At 36.8% G+C, this 20,982-nt stretch overlaps 1 protein-coding gene across 23 annotated transcripts in view, besides 1 other annotated feature; it reads right to left on the bottom strand.

The window, feature by feature from the left end:
- Positions 2,518-2,812: a silencer, noted in NCBI's record as "tiled region #3093; K562 Repressive non-DNase unmatched - State 24:Quies". NCBI's record gives its function as "represses a minimal TATA promoter and a strong SV40 promoter by Sharpr-MPRA in K562 cells {active_cell/tissue: K562}" and the evidence as "EXISTENCE:reporter gene assay evidence [ECO:0000049][PMID:27701403]".
- PCNX1 (pecanex 1) overlaps positions 4,162-20,982 on the bottom strand; it is a 207,924-nt gene continuing 191,103 nt past the window's right edge. For all 23 annotated transcript variants that reach the window (XM_005267420.5, NM_014982.3, XM_005267422.5 and 20 more), the window contains 6 exons: positions 17,324-17,554; positions 15,875-16,149; positions 14,104-14,309; positions 10,498-10,940; positions 9,952-10,092; positions 4,162-9,749 (listed from right to left, as the gene is read on the bottom strand). In XM_005267420.5, coding sequence (XP_005267477.1) covers positions 9,609-9,749; positions 9,952-10,092; positions 10,498-10,940; positions 14,104-14,309; positions 15,875-16,149; positions 17,324-17,554 — 1,437 coding nt within the window. In that variant the 3' untranslated portion in view covers positions 4,162-9,608. The remainder of the gene's footprint in view (positions 9,750-9,951; positions 10,093-10,497; positions 10,941-14,103; positions 14,310-15,874; positions 16,150-17,323; positions 17,555-20,982) is intronic.

Below are 20,982 nucleotides of genomic sequence, written 5' to 3'. Positions count from 1 at the left end.
TGAGGCAGGAGAATTGCTTGAGCCTGGGGGGCAGAGGTTGCAGTGAGCCGAGATTGTGCACTGCACTTCAGCCTGGGCAACAAAGCAAGACTCCATCTCAAAAAAAAAAAAAAAAGACCTTAGGCCAGGAAAATCACTGCCTAGAAAAGTGAACAGGAAAAAACTCACTGTGCTGTAACAAAAAACACTGATCTTGAAATCATGAGTAATGTGACTCTGTCATCTAACCAGAGCCTGCAAGAGTACAAAATGTTGGTCAGATCCTGCGTATGTGTCACTGGTCTAGACATCTCTGCTTTACCTGAGGTGTCTGGCCTACCTCTATGATACATTTTGGACTGGGTGGGACACAGATTTCAGATAGCTGCCATGCCCACACCCACTTTGGAGGCCACTGATCTTGTTTTCCCTCAGCTCCCATTATTCAAGTGGATTGGTTTGTACCACAAAACCCTGTGCACTCCTCTCACTACTCTAACCCTCCAATAGTGGCTGGGTACAATCAGTAGGCTAGCTAGCAACTAAGGCATGGCTGAATCTGAAATGAAAGAATATAGCCAGTAAAGTCAAGGCAAAGGCAAGTCAAAGTTTAAGTAATTAGATGTTGTAATAGATGGGTGAGGATGCCAACTGACATTAAGAAAAGACTTGACAAGAGGTTAGCTTGTTTCAGATCAACCCTTCAATCAAAAATAATGAGGAAAGCTGTACAAAGCATAAAAATATACTTGAAGGTGTTGGAGTGCTACCGCAGTAACTACGACTTTAGGGGCCAAGACCCCAGAGAGAAGGAAGCCCAGAGAGGGAAGACTGGTATTTGGTGTTGTAACAGGACTGCCAGGTTTGTATGCCCGCTGGGCGACAACAGATCAATACTACACTGACAACGGGAACTGCAGCAACATTGGAATTTAATAATCCAAGGCTGCTGGATGAGAAAATGGAGGGGAATTCTCAAGCCATGAATCTGTTCCCTCGAGGGGTTCTGGGCGTGTCTTTAAGGGGATGGTGGAGGACAACAGGCTGGAAAATTGGGGTTGTTGATTGGTCCTGGTAAAGAGATGAAATCATAGGATATGGAAACTATTCTTCCATGAGTCAGCTTCTTACGGGGCCCTTCAGCCAGCCGGTGTCAGTAGTTTCGTTGATATGCAAAACCTAAAGGAGAAACTCTTAGATTTTAGCTATAGAACAAAGTCTTGTGACAAGGCCTACATTTTCCTGGGGTAGTAAGCAGCGGCCAGCTACAGGGAAGTAGGCCAAAGGGCAAGCTGGCTTAATGATTACTGCTCATTGTACTGCAAACCTAGTTGAATTTTATTTTCTCCCTTAATCAATTTTATAAAGTTTTCTTGGGGATGGTTTCAGTGCCACATCTGCCAATTTGAAAGCAGTGGCTGAGAAACTGAGCAGTGATTTTGGACTTTCACAAGGCTGGGGTGTTTGTAATTACAATTCAGGGCCCGCCAAAGATGAAACCCAGTCTTTAAGTTTGTATATCTAAAGGGCTACACCCTAGTAGTAAAAGAGAAACAGATCAGTTCTCAGAAGGCTGAAGATCATCTTCCAAACAGCTCATTCCCTTATTTCCTACCTTGTTTGCCAAAAGTAAAAGTAGATCATCTTGAGGAAGATTATAACATCTACAGCCTCAATTATGTACAGATTTTCATATACTGTGTCTGGCATTCAATCAGAATGTATTCTGAATGAATACCAGTGTCTGGTATTCAATCAGAAATACACAGACAAAAGACAAAACAGAGAAACAAGAGGGGGAAAAAAAAAACAACAGAAACAGAATCACAGGAGACCCAGATGTTGGAATTATCATATATGAGCTTTAACTGTAGTTAATATGTTTAATAAATTAAATAGTGAGCAAGAACATCAGCAGGTAACTGGAAATATATTAGAGGATCAAATGCAAATTCTGGAACTGAAAAATATACAAATTAAAATTAATAACTCAATAGATCAGTTTAGCAGAATATTAGATACAGATGATGAAAGAAAAATAACAACTGGAAGATATGTAGAATAAAATATTTAAACTAAATATGGAGAGACCAAAGATAGGAAATTCAGAAAAGAACATGAGATAAAGGACATGGTAAAATATGTGTATAATTGTGGTGTGAGAGGAGGAGAGAAAAATAATATGGCAGAAGGAATATTTGAAGAGATAATGGCCAAGATTCAGTGATAATAAAAAACACTTTGGCAAGATAAATACAAAGAAAACTACACACAGGCACTATATGGAAAGCTTTAAAAATCAAAGACAAAAATAATTGGAGGATTAAAAATACATTGCCCTTAAAAGAGCAACAAGACTAAAAAAATCATGAAAGGTAGAAGACAGTGGAATGATTCCTTTGAACTGCAGAAAGAAAATAACTGCCAAGCCAAATCTCTGTATCTCACAAAAATAAAGTCTCTGTATTTATTTCTGTATCTCACTGAAATAGTCTCTTTCCTCCAAATTCAAGATAGCCTTTGTTCACAGGAGTTGACTCGGGGTAATCAAAAGTTATATGCAGATTTTCAACTGTGCCGGGCGTTGGCACCCCTAATCCCTGCGTCGTTCAAGGGTCAACTGTATTACAAACACACAGAGGCACTACTGGGTATCTGGTTAAGTTCAGTGCTATCCTGGAATGTTGACTTTATATGATAAAGACAGGTCAAGAATATTTGCTTTAAGATGAGGCCACAGATGTGGAGTATTTTTATATGGGCCGGTTGCTTCTGTATCCGTAAATAGTGCTCTCATAAGAAAAAAGGAACCTCGGACTGAAAGATGACTTTCCCCTTTTGGCATGGTTCACTGGGCACTGAAACTGAATGGCATCTTTAAAAGTTTCACAGACAAGGTAGATTCATCTCCAGTTATTTGCTGTTAATGCTTGAGAAATTGCAAAGCAACCTTGGGATCCTCTTGCATTAAATTACATTTTCCCAAGGATGAAGCTTAATTATATTTAGTTGCCTTGGATAAGCACCTATGGAGGAAAAATTTTTTTTTTTTTTTTGGAGACAGCATCTCACTTTGTCACCCAGGCTGGAGTGCAGTGGTGCAATCTCAGCTCACCGCAACCTTCGCCTCCTGGCGGAGTAATCTTCCCACCTCAGCCTCCCAAGTAGCTGGGACTACAGGCACACACCACTGTGCTCGACTAATTTTCAAGTTTTTCTGTAGAAAAGGGGTCTCTATTGCTCAGGCTAAGAATAAATATTTTATATAAGTAAGTGCTTATATACCCAGGAAGCCACCATTCTGTCATGCCCTTACTTCACAAAGTGTTGCTTTCCACCCTTCCCCAGGGGAAAACACACCTAACATGGCAAGATTCATTGGCTACAGTTCAGCGAAACATTTTTGGATCCTTTAGGAGGAAAAATCTTACATAAACTGCACTTTAAGAATAAGGTTGTGCAGGATCTGGATTAAAAAAAAGAATAAGGAAGAAGTTTTATGGGACCTAAATTTCACGTCAACAGCCCTTTGAATCTCTGGCTCTACGAGGAATGCAACTAATCCAGGGAATGCCTTTCTTTGAAGATGTTTTATGCCACTGTGACCCCAGAGGAAAGATAGATAGCAAATTATTTGGACTCTGATGCAAAAGGCATATAATCTGTATCCTGCTGGTTCTGGTTCTTACTAATAAATAGTTAAAATGATGCATTAAAGGATTATAAGTGATTTAATCAAGAATATGTCTATTCTCATTGTAAATTAGCTTGCATTTTCTGTATTATATGTGAAATCACTGAGTTAGTACACACTGCAAATATACCAAACAAGTTTGTACCTGCCTTTGATGACCATAATCCAAATGTTCTTTCCATTTTCTGTATTGTAGTTTAGTCTGTGATTGAACATTTTTATCCTACATGTTCTATCTAATATTGTTAATATGTAACATCGAGATAAATTCAGAAGACAAACTACAACCCTTGCACTAAGAAAAGTGTGAAACAGACCATGTTTTAACATGAAGTATGATGTACGCTTTTGATCTATTGCAAGTTGAAGCACATGTTTACAGGCCAAAGCTTGTTTAAAATGATTTCAGAACCAAGTGTGAACATGCCATACAGAACTTAATATAGTGTACTCTAATTTTTCTCAGTTTGACAAAAAATGGACAGAAGGCAAAATGAAAAAAAATTTATTTCCTCAGTGTTTTATCCACTGTCAATACTGTATTTTTGATGCAATATATTTGCCAAAAGAACTCAGCTTTTATTTTCCATTTTAAACAACTACAATATTTACAAGCTGTTCAGAATAACACTCAGACACACACACACTCACAGACACACGTAAGTACATATGTCCTTATCTCTGGTTTATACTGAATGCTGGTAAAGGCCATGAATACTTTCCAGAGCCCATGATCAGAAAAGGAAAACCCATTTTCCTTTCTTACGTTCACTTTCCTAGAATCATTTTCAATATTCCTCCTTCCATTTCCTCATGCAGAGCTCATTGCCAGACTTGTATAGGTTTAATCAGTTTTTACATTTTACTTTTACTTAAACTATAAGCTTTTAAAAAGCATAAGCAGACATGATTCCCCCCCCCCCCCCCATTTCTATTATTTTGGTTGTAGAATCAAGCTTCATAGATAAAAAATCTTGTTCAATCACAAGTACACTAAACCCAAGAGTCATCTGGAGCAGCCATCTTATGCTCTATCACTACTCTGTTGTGAATTCCGGGGCACCACCTCATTGTGCAGGTAAAACTCAGGAATTCATCCCCATCACAGTGTTAGATGACCTTTGTTCCTTCTAGCTTGGCTCCACTGAATCATAAATTGTCAGGTACAGAGCTGAGGCATAAGAAAAAAGGTATAACCCTATATAATAGGTATAAGTCTTAGAACAGAGTTGTCATATAACCTTGTGGTGACAATCAGCTCTAGTTCCACCAAAGAATGTAAGGTTGATTCCACAAAATGGCAGATAATGAAGTTCAACTCACAAATAGAAGTTATCTTAATTCAGAAAAAGTATGTTGTATGTAGGCAATAAAGATAAATTGTTATACATAATTCTTGACAGATGACTCTGGTGAGGTGATTCAAAGTAGAAAATATACTTCTGTTTCAAGCAAACTTACTCCACTCATATCCTACCAGATTTATTTGTATAATAATTAATTCCTTTCCAATCACAGTTCTTCCTAGACAGACATTTAACAAGTAAAAATAAGACGGCCTGGGTGCATATCAATCAACCAAATTAAAAACAAACAAAAAAGATAGATAAATGGAGAAAACGATTGGCTTTTTAATACTTATTTTTAAAAAGCCATATTCAATGTAATATTAGAATTATGCTGTCCCAATGCATGGTAGTATCTAATTTTTTTCTTCCTCAACACCAATGAAACAATATCCATGTAAGACTGAAACAGAATGTCCAACCTCCATTAGCAAGTTCCATGTACCACATTAGCCTTGACTGACGTTATTATCTCCACTAATCTCTGAATTAAAGGAAAAGCCTCTAGAATAAAAAGGGACACTTTATACCTTATCTAAACCATGTATCCTATCAAAAGAGAAAATTAACTGGGTCTCTGTCCAAAGTAACTTTATATGATTACATTACACAGAAAAAGAATACGAATGAATAATGACGACTTAAAAAACAAACATACACACACACACACACCCCAGAAAAGGCTTTGTCCATATTCATGACAAATTAATTAAAATAAATATAAATGAAATTAACAATCTGGACAGCAGTTTATGGTTAAGTAGCTAGTAAATATAAATTCAAAGAATTCTGACAAAATCATTATTACCTTTTTCTCAAGTCACATATTTATTTAGGAGGAAAGATGCTTGAAAGCTAGCTATAAGAAAAGGACAACTTTAGACACTGGGTGAATCTTCAGCTTAAAAGGCCCAGTGCTGGATGAATGACTCACAACAGCAATCCACCAAATGCAGAGCTGCTAAGCAGAGGCAGAAGGATGCTGCTCAGAAGCACAGAGGAATTTATCAAGGCTATAAGCTAAACTTGCTGAAAAATGTGAGGCTGATTTTTATATTTTGGTATGTGATGGAAAAATAAACTAATTCAGAAAGAAAAACACATCTTCTTAATGGGTTTTCTACACAAAAACTTACATTTTCATTGCCTGACATTTAGTATACAGAGTAATTTTCCATATCTCACTTAGGATACAAATATTGTCTGACTACTTCTGTTTTAAGAATTATAAGTAGTTCAGATATACTTGAAATATTTTCCAAAATACTTCGAATCTAATAGAAATAGATTATCATCCTCCAGTAACAAAGTCAAAGAAGGCAGAACACTGGTTAAGTTTGTTCACTAATTTCCTAAAAGGTAATCTCTTAAAAAATATACATACAGCCTCACCACTTACTCTTCCAAGTTCCTTAAATATCAACATCTTATGTTAATCTAGATTCTTGGAAAAATTAAAGTTCTTTAGCAAAAAGTCAACATTAAAGTTTTATCCAGTGTTGAAAATGGTGTAAAAAGAGAGTTCACACCAAGGTATAAGTTGGAAGATTAACCAAAAACTTAGGAGTTATAAAATGTTTTTTGCCACTGAATGAAAGAAATAAAGGAAAAAAAGGCAATAATTTATAACTCATTCCACGATTACCTTTCTCTCAAAAGAGGGGGTGGCGGAAGAATTAAACAAGAAAAAGCAAAGTTTTCAATCATACAACTCCACCAAAAGGAAATGAATAAAAAAGCTAGTATTTTAGTTACATCTTTTAACTTTCAAATTATGGAAATTAAAGCATTGGCAAATTTATAAACTAAAGACATTAATGTATGCTGAAGTCTTGTACATAACTGAAAAAAAGCAGAGAATCTAAACGAGTCACTCACTATTCTCTGGGGGGTGAGGGGTGAGGCAGGAACAAGAATTTATGATCAATTTAGTTAACACAAGTATGTTTATTTCCATATAATAATTTAGATCAAATTATTCTTAAGAAATGGATCTTTCTTCAATTATCACCAATTCCCTGATGCAATTACTAGAAAAGTATTATGATTTTTAAAAGATTGTCAGTTTTAGACTCTTAAGAAAAACAACAGGGCTTCTTCTCAGGGTTCCTAATTTATAAATTCACTAAAGAATTATATATGTTAACAAAATTCAACTTGTTTTGAGAAAAATATATGTCAATTGCTACCCAAAATCAAAACCCAACATATATGTTCCATATAAAGTCTAGTCTTGCATTTGAAATCTGACTTTTCAGAGTATGTGATGTGTTTAAAATTTTTTTGGAGGAGGGGCTAGAAATTAAAAAATTCTAGCCCTTCAGATTAAATCATGTAAAGGTCAGATTTTTTTTCTGTGTGGGAAAATGAATTATCTTCCATCTAAGATTGAAAAGGCTCTACTTTTATCTAGGCAATGACCATGAAAAGATCATATTCACTTCAGAAAGGGAAGAAGCAGCAGGGAACATAGTTCCTTTCAGAAGATTTTAAAAATATACGTATACAGAGAAATAGATTATAAATTCAGTTTCAGAAAAAAACCCTCCAAAACCAAAAACAACACTAAACTTTAATGGCATACTGTAGATCTGCCAAAATGAGGCAAATGCAGAACATAATGACGGTATCACAAAAATACATTTTTAAATGGTCAATTTAGAAAGGGTACTTTTGTATAAAGGTTCAGTAAATCATTTGACAAGTATTTTTAAACAGTAAATTTTGTAAAGTGTGAAGTCTATGGAAATGTCAACACAAGGCACATTAGGTTCTGAATGACCACAAAAGTTTAAAATTAGAAAAAGGGAAAATAAATAGGTTTTAAAGTGGAAATGCAGTAAGTTCTGTATGTTCACTATTTACTTTCTTAGTTTTCATTCCTTCTACTGTAATGTTATGCTATAATGTGAGATCTACATCAGAATTGGTAGGAAAAACAGCTTCTCTCTTCTGTCACCTCAACAAAAGATACTTTAAATCTGTACTGTCTAATACAGTAGCCACTAGGTACATGTAGCTATTGAGTACTTGAAATATGGCTAGTGACATATGATGAAATAGTAATACTTTGACTATACTGGGTGAAACAAAATGTATCATTAAAATTAATTTTACCTGTTTCTTTCAATGATTTATTCACAAGGGGTAGAAAGATGGCTGCTCCTAAATGCTCAGAGGAGATGTACAATTTTCTTTGGAGTTTCACACCAAAAGGGAAAATTTTATCAAGGATTTAAAAAATGCTAAGAGTTGCAAATTAAATCTAAATTGAAGTTCCTATATCGCCCAATTGTAAATATGAGTAATATATTTCCCTGAATATGCATTTAAAAAAAATAAAGTTATGAGACAACATATGAATTAAGTCAATTTCACAGTTATAAATATTTCAATTTACAGCTACACACTATAAATTACAGGAAATAAAATTCAAGTAACAGAAAAAGAAGAGGGGAAAAATAAAAAGCAAAATTATTAAAGAGGGATATAATAATAACTGCACCACTTGGATACTTTTATTTGAAAAAAAATTTTACTTGACTAACTGAACTGCATGTGAATAACTTCAAGAGCTAGAAACTCATAAATAAAAGGCAATCGATCCTTTCTTTAAATTCCTGGACATTCATCTTCTTCTTAAAGAAAATTGTTTTCTTCCCAGAAGCACGCCCAGCAGAGCTTGCTCTGGTGGAGAGAAGCAGAGCACATGGGCTCCTCTGAGATGTAGACACAGGAGCTGGCAGTGGTGTTCACAAGACCGATCCGCTGACTATTGGCTCTGGGAAATGTCAATGATGAAGCTACGTATATCTTGAGATTCTATATTCACTTTAAAGAAAATACCCAATGTCCTGGCATGAAGTACACACTACTAACAGAAAAATGAGCAGCACAGTTCCTGCTACCTGTGTTTATAAGGAAAGGGAAGGGGCTAATCCCAAAGGCAATTTAAATAATGGTATTTTATTTTTATATATAAATAAATGTTCTGAGAAATCTCAGACTTTAGTGCATTGCTGTAAAAAATTAGTGCAGTTTTTTTTATTAAAGTTTTTAGCGCTCAAGGAATAAGATAAATCTATGTCTGTTCATAGTCTCTTTCACTGTACATTAAACTTTTATACTGCTATAAGTCAAAAGGAACATTTCTACACTGGTCTGTTCTTAAAAATCAAGGTAAATGAATTTCATGTTCTATGACAAAACATGGCAATTATTTTTGGCAAAGAAATTAGAAAAATATGAGATCATAGTTTAGAAATGAAGAGTTTGTTGATTTAAAGCATAGGCAATGCATAGGAAAAACTTTTTTTAAGGATGTATTTTAACAGAACTTTATCCTTCATGCAAAATGTTTTCTCGGCAGCTAACTTAAAAAAATATTTCAGCTTTATTTGGGGATGGAGACAGTGACAGGAGTCAGGGTGAAGGGCAAAGGAGAGGTGCTTAACCAAGCTCATTCTATTTTCAGTCGCTCCCACATAGGATCAAAGTGATACCTGCAGGCATCTTCTGCTTGTTCCTCTCTTTTTCCAATGCCTTGGAATTGAGAGGGAAAAAGAAATGTCTTTATAATAAACACTGGCTCACACTTCAGCCCCAAGTTCTAGTACCCCAGTTTCAATTACAGTCACATATTTATCATCAATCTGGACCAGAAGCACTGCCTTGTCGATGTGGGATCTGGTACCTGGATCTCTGCTGCAAGGCACCCATCGGTGAATCACCTAATGATTCAGAATAAAACAAGAAGTTAGCACTGGAGACCTGGAATATACTCACAAACTCTTACCCCTACCTAGGATTAGTAGTAGCAATTTTGTCTGAAAATTATACGTTTAAGTATAAATCAGCTAAAACCATGCATCCAAGTGAGGCGGACTTCAAAAAAGGCAGAGCCCCAGACCGCCAGCTTGTAAAAGAACTTACATGGCCTTCCATGCCCTCCTGCGGACTCCAGTCTTTCCAGCTATTTCTCCCAGCTTTTAACCGGATTCCTTCATCAGGCCACTGTAGCTCTTTCCTTTTAGACAGGTTGATCCCTTCCAGAATTTGACTGGGATCCACAATCTACATGGTAAATAAAAACATTTCCAATTCATTTTTTTCTTGATGATGAAAAATTATGTAATCTCAAACAAAATGCTTTTCACAGAGAGGAATTACTTTTTAAATTCCTATAATGGAATAAAAAAAAAATCTTAAGAGCTACATCTTGAATTCTTTTCAGCCCTCTGGTAGACCTCACTGCAATGTCCATGAGACAGTGGCTGAACAAGGAACATATATCACCATCACAAAAACTGTTTGCTTTCAGTTTTTAAGTTTGAAGAAATTTTTCCCCAACATTCAAAAATATTCTAGTCCTGAGACTAAGATAAGGTGTGTATTCACAACAGTCCTTCATTCAACAAATAAGAAATAAAAACAAATAAGTAACAAAAACAGCACAAGACCACCTCTGGGCTTACTTACTTGGACTCTGTAAATCACTTCTGCCTTTCTGGAGTGTGAATTGTTGGCAGGACTTAAGGTGTTGCCTGGCTGTGCATCAGTGGCACTGCTCTGACCTCCCTCTGTCGCAAGAAAGCCCACGAGAGTGTGATGTTTGCAGGCTGGGATGCTTTGGCTGGAGCTGCTGGAGGAAGGCAGGCCGTGCTGCACACAGGCCAGGCCGCTCTGACCTGAGGGTTCCATTTGGTTCACCATCGACAGTCGGGATTGGATGGATGATGGCAAGTTTCGAAGCGATATCTGACTAGTAGAAGAGCGCCGACAAGGCACAAACCCAGTGGTGGACATCCGGAGGGATGAATGCCGGCTGCTATAGCAGTAGGAAGACTGGCTGGCTACTGAGGCCCGGGCAGGAGACTGTCTGACCAGGCCCGACTGCACAGAGTGAGAGCTGTGGCTAGTGCCTAGGAGGAGAAACAGCAGCACTCACTCAAAGTAGAATGACTCAGACACAATACTTCTGTTTTGCAGTTTCTAAGACTTTTTCCCCTAAGCAATTAATTGGTGAACTGACAGAACTTAACGTTTATGCCTAAAACTTTTAAAGTTAAGAAAAAGAAATACGTATCTGAGATCTATTTTCTTTTGTGGTTCTTGTAATATATTTTTTATTTGCTAAAGTTTTTTAAAGTTCAAATTCTGTGGCATATGAAAGACAATTAATAATTAAATATTTTACAGCAAATATCAGGACTTAAGGTTGGGATAAATCCTAAAATATGTTTCACAGAAGCATTTTAAAATAACAAGAATACTTCCATAATATATCAGAAATGAAATATCTCACGGAAATGAGACAGTCAGAAGGATTTACTAAGAAACACTGCATGATCTCACTTGTGGAATCTGAAAACCCCGAACTCACAGAAGCAGAGAGTAGAATGGTGGTTGCCAGGGGCTGGGGAAGAGGAGGTGTTGGTCAAAGGGTACAGAGTTCCACTGAGTCAAGAGGAACAAGCTCTGGAGGTCTACTGTACAGCCTGGGGACTAGAGTTAATAATAATGTGTTGTATGCTTAAAAATTGTTGAGTAGCTCTAAAACATTCTTATCACAAAGAAGTATATGAGGTGATGGATAGGTTAACTAGCTTAATTTAATCATTTCACAATATATTCACATATCAAAACATGATGTTGTATACCATAAATATATATAATTTTTGCCAGTTAAAAAGAAATATTTATTAAGGCCCTACTATGTGGCAAGCTCTATAACTACTATTTCTCAAAGTATAGTATTACTGCCCTTTCAACTTCTACCAAGGAAAAGCTACACTGTCTATAGAGAGACAGTGAATACCACGCTGTAATTTTCATATACATTTGGGGATCACTACTAAATCGGAATGATCAGTGGCACTGAAAAGCAGGTTCTTCTGCATCCTTTTTCAAGTGGCTTGATATGATTCTTCAGACTTGTCTTTTTCTTGACTCATAAGAGTAATGTAAAATTAATTACATTGAAACATAGCTACATGTACTTTTTACCTAAAAATAAAAAGAGCTAATCAAGGTAAGAACAAAAAGTACATTTAAAGAACACTGAAAGTTTTAGGTTTTCACCTAAATAAAAAATATTTAATTATTCATTATGTCTTTCATATGCCACAGAATTTGAACTTTAAAAAACTTCAGCAAATAAAAAAAAAATTACAAAAACCACAAAAGAAAACAGATCTCAGATACGTATTTCTGAACATCCAAAATGTTGATCTATCAGGTCTCTTCACTTGAATCCCATTGAAAATATATATATTTAAATTTAATAAATGTCTTTACATTTAAGTAAATGTCTTAGAACTTTATTTGATTCACGTGAAGCAGTCAGGGGGGCAGTTGGGGAGAGGATCAACTTCTTCATATGGCTGGATCAACTGCCCAGCCATATGGAGACAGTTGAGACCTGATTCCTTCTGCACACCAGGTGGATTGTAGATCTCATGTCAAAGGGAAATTAATAAAAGCATACTTTGAGGGCCTAGGGACAGGGAAAATTTTCTTAATTAGGACATAAAAAGTACTAATGATAAAATAAATGAATAGTAAGTTGTTCTCACTAAAACTAAGGACTTCTCATCAGAAGAAGGCAAGTAACTCTTCACAGTAAGAGAATGAAAAGACAAGGGACAGAATGGGAAAAGATATTTGTGGTACAGAAAACTGAAAGAGCTCAAATCCAGAATATAAAACACAAATCAGTAAGAAAAAGATAACCAAATAGAAAAATAGGCAAAAGATGTAACTAGGCACTTTAGAAAGAGGAGCTGCTGATAAATTCATTAAAAACTTCCATTCTTAGGTATCAGAGTAATGCAAATTAAAAGAATAAAATTAAAGACCACCCCTTCTCCTGCCCCCACTGGAGCAAGCAAGGAGCAGAGGCAGGAACTGACAATCTTCAAAGCTGGGAAGGTTGATAGGACTGGTGAGAGTACCAACTGGTTTAAAAAAAAAAAAAAACCTTTCTGGAAAGATTTTTGGCATTATATATCAAGAGTCTTATTCTCATAGGCTTTGGCCTAGTGATTTCATTTTTAAAGTCTCTAACCTATGAAAATAATAAATGATTATAAAGACTTATATACAAAGACTATTACAACATTGTTAGAAGAAAAACCAAGTAATTGTCCAACAGGGGAGAAGTTAATTATAATAGTTAAATATTGTTAGCCTTTAAAAATTATATTTTCAGCTGGGCGTGGTGGCTCACGCCTGTAATCTCAGCACTTTGGGAGGCCAAGGTGGGCGGATCACAAGGTCAGGAGATCGAGACCATTCTGGCTAACATGGTTGAAACCTCGTCTCTACGAAAAATACAAAAAAAAAATTAGTTGGGCGCAGTGGCATGCACCTGTAGTCCCAGCTACTCGGGAGGCTGAGGTAGGAGAATGGTGTGAACCCAGGAGGCAGAGCTTGCAGTGAGCCGAGATGGCACCACTGCACTCCAGCCTGAGCAACAGAGTGAGACTCTGTCTCAAAAAATTAAAAATAATAAAAAAAATAAAAATTATATTTTCAAAGAATCCTTAATATATTAAAATGTTTATGTTGAATTATCAAGTTTTAAAAGTATATATACAAATATATAAAATATATATTTATATATATAAAATAATATGAACAAATGGAATAATGTACAACTTGGAATAAAAAAAATTATATTTCTGGGCTGGGTGTGGTGGCTCACGCCTGTAATCCCAGCACTTTGGGAGGCCGAGACGGGCAGATCATGAGGTCAGGAGATGGAGAACATCCTGGCTAACATGGTGAAACCCTGTCTCTACTAAAAATGCAAAAAAATAGCCGGGCGTGGTGGCAGGGGCCTTAGTCCCAGCTACTCAGGAGGCTGAGGCAGAAGAATGGCATGAACCCGGGAGGCGGAGCTTGCAGTGAGCCGAGACTGTGACACTGCACTCCAGCCAGAGCAAGACTCCATCTCAAAAAAAAAAAAAAATTCTATTTCTGAATTTCCAAGTGGACCACATGTAATCCTCTTTATACACATATACTAACCAGCCTCTATGGCTAAGAAGCTAACATTAGACATATAACTTTGTTTCACATTACCTAGTGTTGGAGGATAAGATGTGACAGGTGGGTGGAGTCCAGTTCCTGATCCCTGCCCAGGATTTCCAATGCTTCCCTGGGTCACGTTGCTGTGGGGATTGTTGGCAGTTGTTGCATTGTTACCAGTGCAGGAAGTCCCACCTCCAGTATCAGAATCTTCAATATTGCCACCACTGTTACATCCAGCTCCGCAACCTTTCCTAAGCCTAGGAACAAATACCAGAGTAGGAAGCATTATTCCAAGATCACTTCAAAATGGGTATTTTATTCTTTTTCCAGCTATTCTGAACTGCAAATGCTACTAATGTTCACCTTTTAAAGTCTTTATGGTGCAATCAATATTAGGAACAAAAAAACTCATTACGTTTTCAAAGAGTGGCTTAAGAACTATACCCGTCATATTCACTGCCTCAAATCTTTCATATGCTCTATTATCTGTCCTGCACCATAATAAAGAACTGTATATAACTCAGTTGTACCATTAAGATCACAGCTGGAAATGGAATTTTTTTTTTTTTGAGACGGAGTCTCGCTGTCACCAGGCTGGAGTGCAGTGGCACAATCTCGGCTCACTGCAACCTCCACCTCCAAGTTCAAACGATTTTCCTGCCTCAGCCTCCTGAGTAGCTGGGACTACAGGCGCCCACTACCATGTCCAGCTAATTTTGTATTTTTAGTAGAGATGGGGTTTCATCATGTTAGCCAGGATGGTCTCAATCTCTTGACCTTATGATCTGCCCACCTCAGCTTCCCAAAGTGCTGGGATTACCCAGTGTGAGCCACAGCGCCGGGCCTGGAAACAGAATTCTTACCAGTGCCAATGTCTGTTCAGTGACTCTGAAGTATGTAACCCCTGAAAACCTAATTTATTTATACTGTTAATATAGTGTACTTGAAGAGAGGTGCTGAAATCATTTTTCCTATTTTTAAAAAATGGAGAGTGACTAAGCAAACGAGGACAATTGGGCACTCTATGCCATTTTTCTTAGGGGGAAAGAATCTCTTTACGGTAATTCCAGCATATTAGATCTTTTTTGGAAAGAAAATTTCTTTGAACACTCCCCTGACTTATATTGTGCCTTCTGTTTGGGCGGAGATTGAACATTTGAGAGTTTGCTGCTTTAATTGCCAGATTTGGTTTTCTTAAGCTATATTTAAGAATCTGAACAACCCTTATGTTCTGCAATATTTCTTCATCATCCAAACTATGATGTTCCTACACCAGACATAATTTACTAGACAAAAGACAGAGAAAAAAAATCATGTGAATATTTGAAAACACTGTAGATTTCAGATCTGAGTGAGAATGTATTGTTAAAAAGGCAGTAGTATCTCTGCATTGCCATCAAGTTTCAATGTGTACAGAGTGCTCCCCCTAGTGTTGGAACAGAATGGTAAACTAGACAAAGTAATCAACTTGCATGTTATGTTTTTCTCTTAACTTCCCGTTTGTACAGAACAAATATTCAAATATTCTAATAGTGGTAATATACAACAGAAAGTTAAAAAAATTAAACAAATAAAGGGAATTTTCCAAGATTCTACCAAGTAATGGAGCAATGGTTCTTAACCAGTTATACATCAGATTTATCTAATAAGATTTTGAAGATAAGAATGCTCAGATTCTACTTCTTGAAGTTCAGAAATAATGGGTTCATATTGTACCATGGCACCTGTAATTTTTTCTACAAGCTTCCCAGGTGATGCACACTGCCTAGATTAAGAGGGTCAGGAATACACCAGCACTGAATAATACAATCCCTTGGCTCACCTGTGCCAGGTTGACACTATGAAGTTCCTGATATTTCCCAAGCTGATAGGACCCCCAAGAATGTCTTTAAGCTGTTCGTGGCTGTCAGAGTAAGAAGTTGTCAGGGGTGAGACAAAGATTGGGTAGCCAATAGGTTGATCACAAGATGAGTTTATCATGTTTCTCAGGGCTTGCTTTGCATTTTGGATGCTACCTCTCTCTGGGTTACGGTTACGTAGAAAAACAAGCTCCTGCTGTTGCCCTGCCCAAAGACCTCGGACACATTCCTTATTCACCTGAAAACCAGAACACAAGGGAATTAGGTTAAGGGGCCAAGAATAAAATTCACAGAAACAGAAGAGCAGAAATGGGAGGAATACAAAAGATATTATGATAACCAGTTGTGAAAAGCGGGGAACAAATATAAGTAGGTCACATTTAAATAGGAGGTAGCCAATTTCCCTTTGTCATTAGCAGGTTGCTAAATAATAAGTATCTACACAGCTCTTTCTTCATGCTCTGTATTTAAAGTATCAAGTAAAATAAAGTCAATTTAGTTTTTTAACTTGGCAAAGCACTGATAAATAAGACTATAGACATCTTTTATAGAAATGAGAGATAAATATTTACGGTTGAAAGAATGTTTATGACATTTGTGGGTCGATTAATGTGAATTTAAAAAATAACTATAAACTATCAGAATAAAATTTCAGAAATTAAGCCTCTTAAAGCACTGAGATGTTTAAAAAAACAAACAAGCAAAAGTTAGAATGAACTATTTAACTTCTGATCTTTATTAAGTACATGGTATGCTATCATTTTGCAACCTAAGAATCATATTATATTAGCAATATGGTGCTGACTTTTTAAAAAGAGATGCTGCCCAAATTGCATATATAAAATATATAAGACCTGCCATTTAATGGATAAAAGACTGTCAAAACTGAAATAACCAAAAATTTTAAGGCTTTATGGCACATGAGAAACTTTCAGAGGACAGAATAAAGTACTAAAAAAAAATAAGTAAAATTAAGTGCTCATAAACAAGAAAGACAAATGTAATATGGTCATCACATTTTTTTTCTGTGAAAAAACTTTCAATTACTTTTTAAAAGTTTACATCAAGGCTGGGCGTGGTGGCTCACACCTGTAATTGTACAGCTTTGGGAGGCTGAGTCAGGTGGATCACTTGAGGCCAGGAGTGTGAGACCAGCCTGGGCAACATTGCAAAACCCTGTCTCTACAAAAAACACAAAAATTAGCCGGACATGGTGGTGCATGTCTGTAGTCCCAGCTTCTCGATAGGCTGAGGTGGAGCAAAGGGAGGTCGAGAGCCTGCAGTAAGCCCATGATCATGCCACTGTATTCCAGCCTGGGCCCAAAGTGAGACTCTGTCTCAAAAAAAAAAAATTTTAGATCAAGTTATTCAACTTCTATGTTTTGGACCAAATAAATACCTCAAACACTTACTTTAATGACCCTGAAGCTCAGGTAGCGTCTGTTGAGCATGATGATTTTATATTCATTGGTGCCATCATCCATGACATGCCGCAGAGCAAGCAAGGAGGGAGAGTTGGCAAGTACTGCACTCCGCCATGCAGGGTCCCCTTCATGGGCTATTACGAGGTTCTTCTCATGAGATACTATGGCTTCATAGAGCACAGTAGGGTCATCATATTCATCTGGAGAAGTAAAATGATCCTAAATACAAAAATAATATATAAATTTTTAAAGGAAAATAAAAGAACTGATAACTTCTACAGTTACTAAGTGAAAGTTCTTAAAAACTGGTTTATTATGAATATTTCAACACATGTTAATATTATTAGAGATAAATTATAGATTCTCAGTCATAACTGGGTTAGGAAGTAGCTCATTACTGCTATACTATTTTTGTAAATTCCTCAATCCAACCCTCTCCTCTAAGTTCTAGATGAATAAACATCATTTCTGGTTTTTATGTGTTTTGTTTTTCTCTTTCAAGTTGGTTTTTCATATCTTTATTCATGTTTTTTTTTCTGTTGAAGGATTACGTCACTATTAGGTAAGGAAGGCTAAAACTACATAAAAGGTCTCTATATTGTGTTTCTTCTTAACTAGATACTTTTCACATAAAGTCGTATCTCTAAAATGGGTTCTAATATATCACTTTATCCTGCCTCTCACCTAGTTAAGATACAGCTCAAAGCTAGCAGCTCTGAGCACAGATTTGGGGTCCTAGTCCTAGAGAAGTTGGTAAAGTTTTCTCTGAAAAGTATCTTGGTCTTAATAACTACTTATTCATTTGATAGTTATTCAGTATCTACCATGTACAAGACTGTCTGGCAGGCAGCATGGATAAAACAAAGAAGATATGAAATGTATCTCCCTATTACAAACCTACACATTAACAGGGACAGGACATATACTGAAATAACTGTAACACAAATCTGCAGTTTTGAAATGGTATATTAAAGAAATGTAAATATGATAGGCTGCTTTCATATTTATAGTTGGGAGGCTGACAAATTTCTGTATCCCAGTAAAGTAATCCATTTGCACTCAAGTCAACTGACCAGAATTTGTGCTATGTGAAAGGAGAAGAGGGAGAGTAAGAAGGAATATCCTTAAGGATAGAGCCTGTTAGCTGGGGGGTTGAGATATGTGAGATAATACTGTATACATAAATAATGCTTCATAATGTAAAATGTTCTACATTATTTCACTGGAATTTTACAACAATCTTGTCAAGTAGGTTGAGTTGATAATACCTGCATTTTCCATGTTTAAAAACTGAAGCTTAAAGAGGCTTAATTGCTTCCTAAGTGTAGGAAGTTAGTAAATGCCAGGCAGAAGATTTTGGACCTCGAAGACTGGTATTCTGGAATAACTCAGTCAGACAAAATAAAGAAAAAAGAATAAAAGAAATGAAGAGAGTCTTTGAGGAATACGGGATTATGTAAAGCAACCAAACTTACCAATTAATGACATTCCTGAGAGAGGAGGTGGAAAAGTAAACAACCTGAAAAACATATTTGAGGGAATAACTCAAGAGCATTTCCCTAATCTTGCTAGAAAGGTGGACATCCAGATACAAGAAATCTGAGAACAGCTGTGAGATACTATACAAAATGAACATCACCAGGCATACAGTCACCAGGGTGTCCAAGGTCAACACTAAAGAAAAATTCTTAAAGGCAGCTAGAGAAAAAGGTCAGATCACATAAAAAGGGAACCCCATCAGGTTAATAGTAAACTTCTCAGAAGAAACTTTATAAGCCAGAAGGGATTGGGGCCTGTTTTCAGCATTCTTAAAGAAATTCCAACCAAGAATTTCATATCCTGCCAAACTAAGCTTCATAAGTGAAAGAGAAATAAAATCTTTTCCAGACAAGCAAGTGCTAAGGAAGTTTGTTACCACTTAACCAGCCTTATAAGAGATCCTTAAGGGAGTTCTAAACATGGAAACAAAAAAATAATACCTGCTACCACAAAAACACACTTAAGAACACAGCCCACAGACCCTATAAAGCAACCATACAGTAGAACTACGAAGCAACCATTCATGATACATGATAGGACCTTCATGATAGGACCAACAACTTCCTAATAGGACCAAAACCTCACATATCAATATTAACCTTGAATGTAAATGGTCTAAACACCCCACTTAAAAGACACAGAGTTGCAAGGTAGATTAAAAAAAAAAGATCCATTTGTCTGGTCTCTTCAAGAGACCCATCTCACATGCAATGACACTCATAGGTGCAAAGTAAAGGGCTGGAGAAAGATTTATCATGCAAACAAACAAAAAGAGCAGGGGTCACTATTCCTATATCAGATAAAATAGACTTTAACAACAGTAAAAATGGAAACAAAAGGTCATTACCTAATGATAGAAAGTTCAATTTAACAAGAAGACATAACTATCCTACATATATATGCACCCAACATTGGAGCACCCAGATTCATAAAACAAGGTTTTACTGGCCTACAAAAAGACTTAGCCACATAGTAATAGTACGGGACTTCAATACCCCACTGACAGTGTTAGATCACTGAGGCAAAAAACTAACAAAGAAACTCTGGACTTAAGTTTGACACTTGGCCAATTGGATCTAATAGACACCTACAGAATACTCCACCCATCAACCACAGACTATACATTATTTTTATCTGCACACAGAACATACCCTATGATCGACCACATGCCTGGCCATAAAGCAAGTTTCAATAAATTAAAAAATCAAAATAGGCCGGGCGTGGTGGCTCACGCCTGTAATCCCAGGACTTTGGGAAGCCAAGGCAGGTGGATCACGAGGTCAGGAGATCGAGACCATCCTGGCTAACACGGTGAAACCCCGTCTCTACTAAAAATACAAAAAATTAGCCAGACGTGGTGGCGGGCGCCTGCAGTCCCAGCTAATCGGGAGGCTGAGGCAGGAGAATGGCAGGAAACCAGGAGGCCAAGCTTGCAGTGAGCCGAGATCACGCCACTGCACTCCAGCCTGGGCAACAAAGTGAGACTCCGTCTCAAAAAAAAAAAAAAAAATCAAAATAATAGTAACCATACTCTTGGACCACAGTGGAATAAAAATGGAAATCAATACCAAGAAGATCTCTGAAAACCACACAATTACATGGGAATTAAACAACTTTCTTGTGAATGACTTTTGCGTAAAGAAATGAAGTTAAAGCAGAAATAAAAAAATTATTTGAAATAAATGAAAACAGAGATACAACATGCCAAAATCTCCAGGATGCAGCATCTATGACAAACCCACAGCCCTCATACTGAATGGGGAAAAGCTGGAAGCATCCCCCTTGAGAACCAGAACAAAACAAGGATGTCCACTCTCACCACTCCTATTCAACACAGTACCAGAAATCCTAGCCACAGCAATCAGGCAGCGGGGAAAAAAAGGCATCCAAATCGGAAAAGAAGTCAAAGTATCTCTCTTTGCTGCTGATATGATTCTATACCTAGGGAACCCAGAAGACTCTGCCAAAAAGCTCCTGGAACTGATAAATGACTTCAAGTTTCAGCATACAAAATCAGCATACTAAAATCAGTAGCATTTCTATTAACCAATAATATTCAAGCCGAAAACCAAATCAATAATGCAATCCCATCTACAATGTTCTCTCTC

Source organism: Homo sapiens, chromosome 14, assembly GCF_000001405.40.
Source record: "Homo sapiens chromosome 14, GRCh38.p14 Primary Assembly".
Taxonomy (NCBI): Eukaryota; Metazoa; Chordata; class Mammalia; order Primates; family Hominidae; genus Homo; species Homo sapiens.
This window is presented reverse-complemented; position numbering and strand designations above follow the sequence as displayed.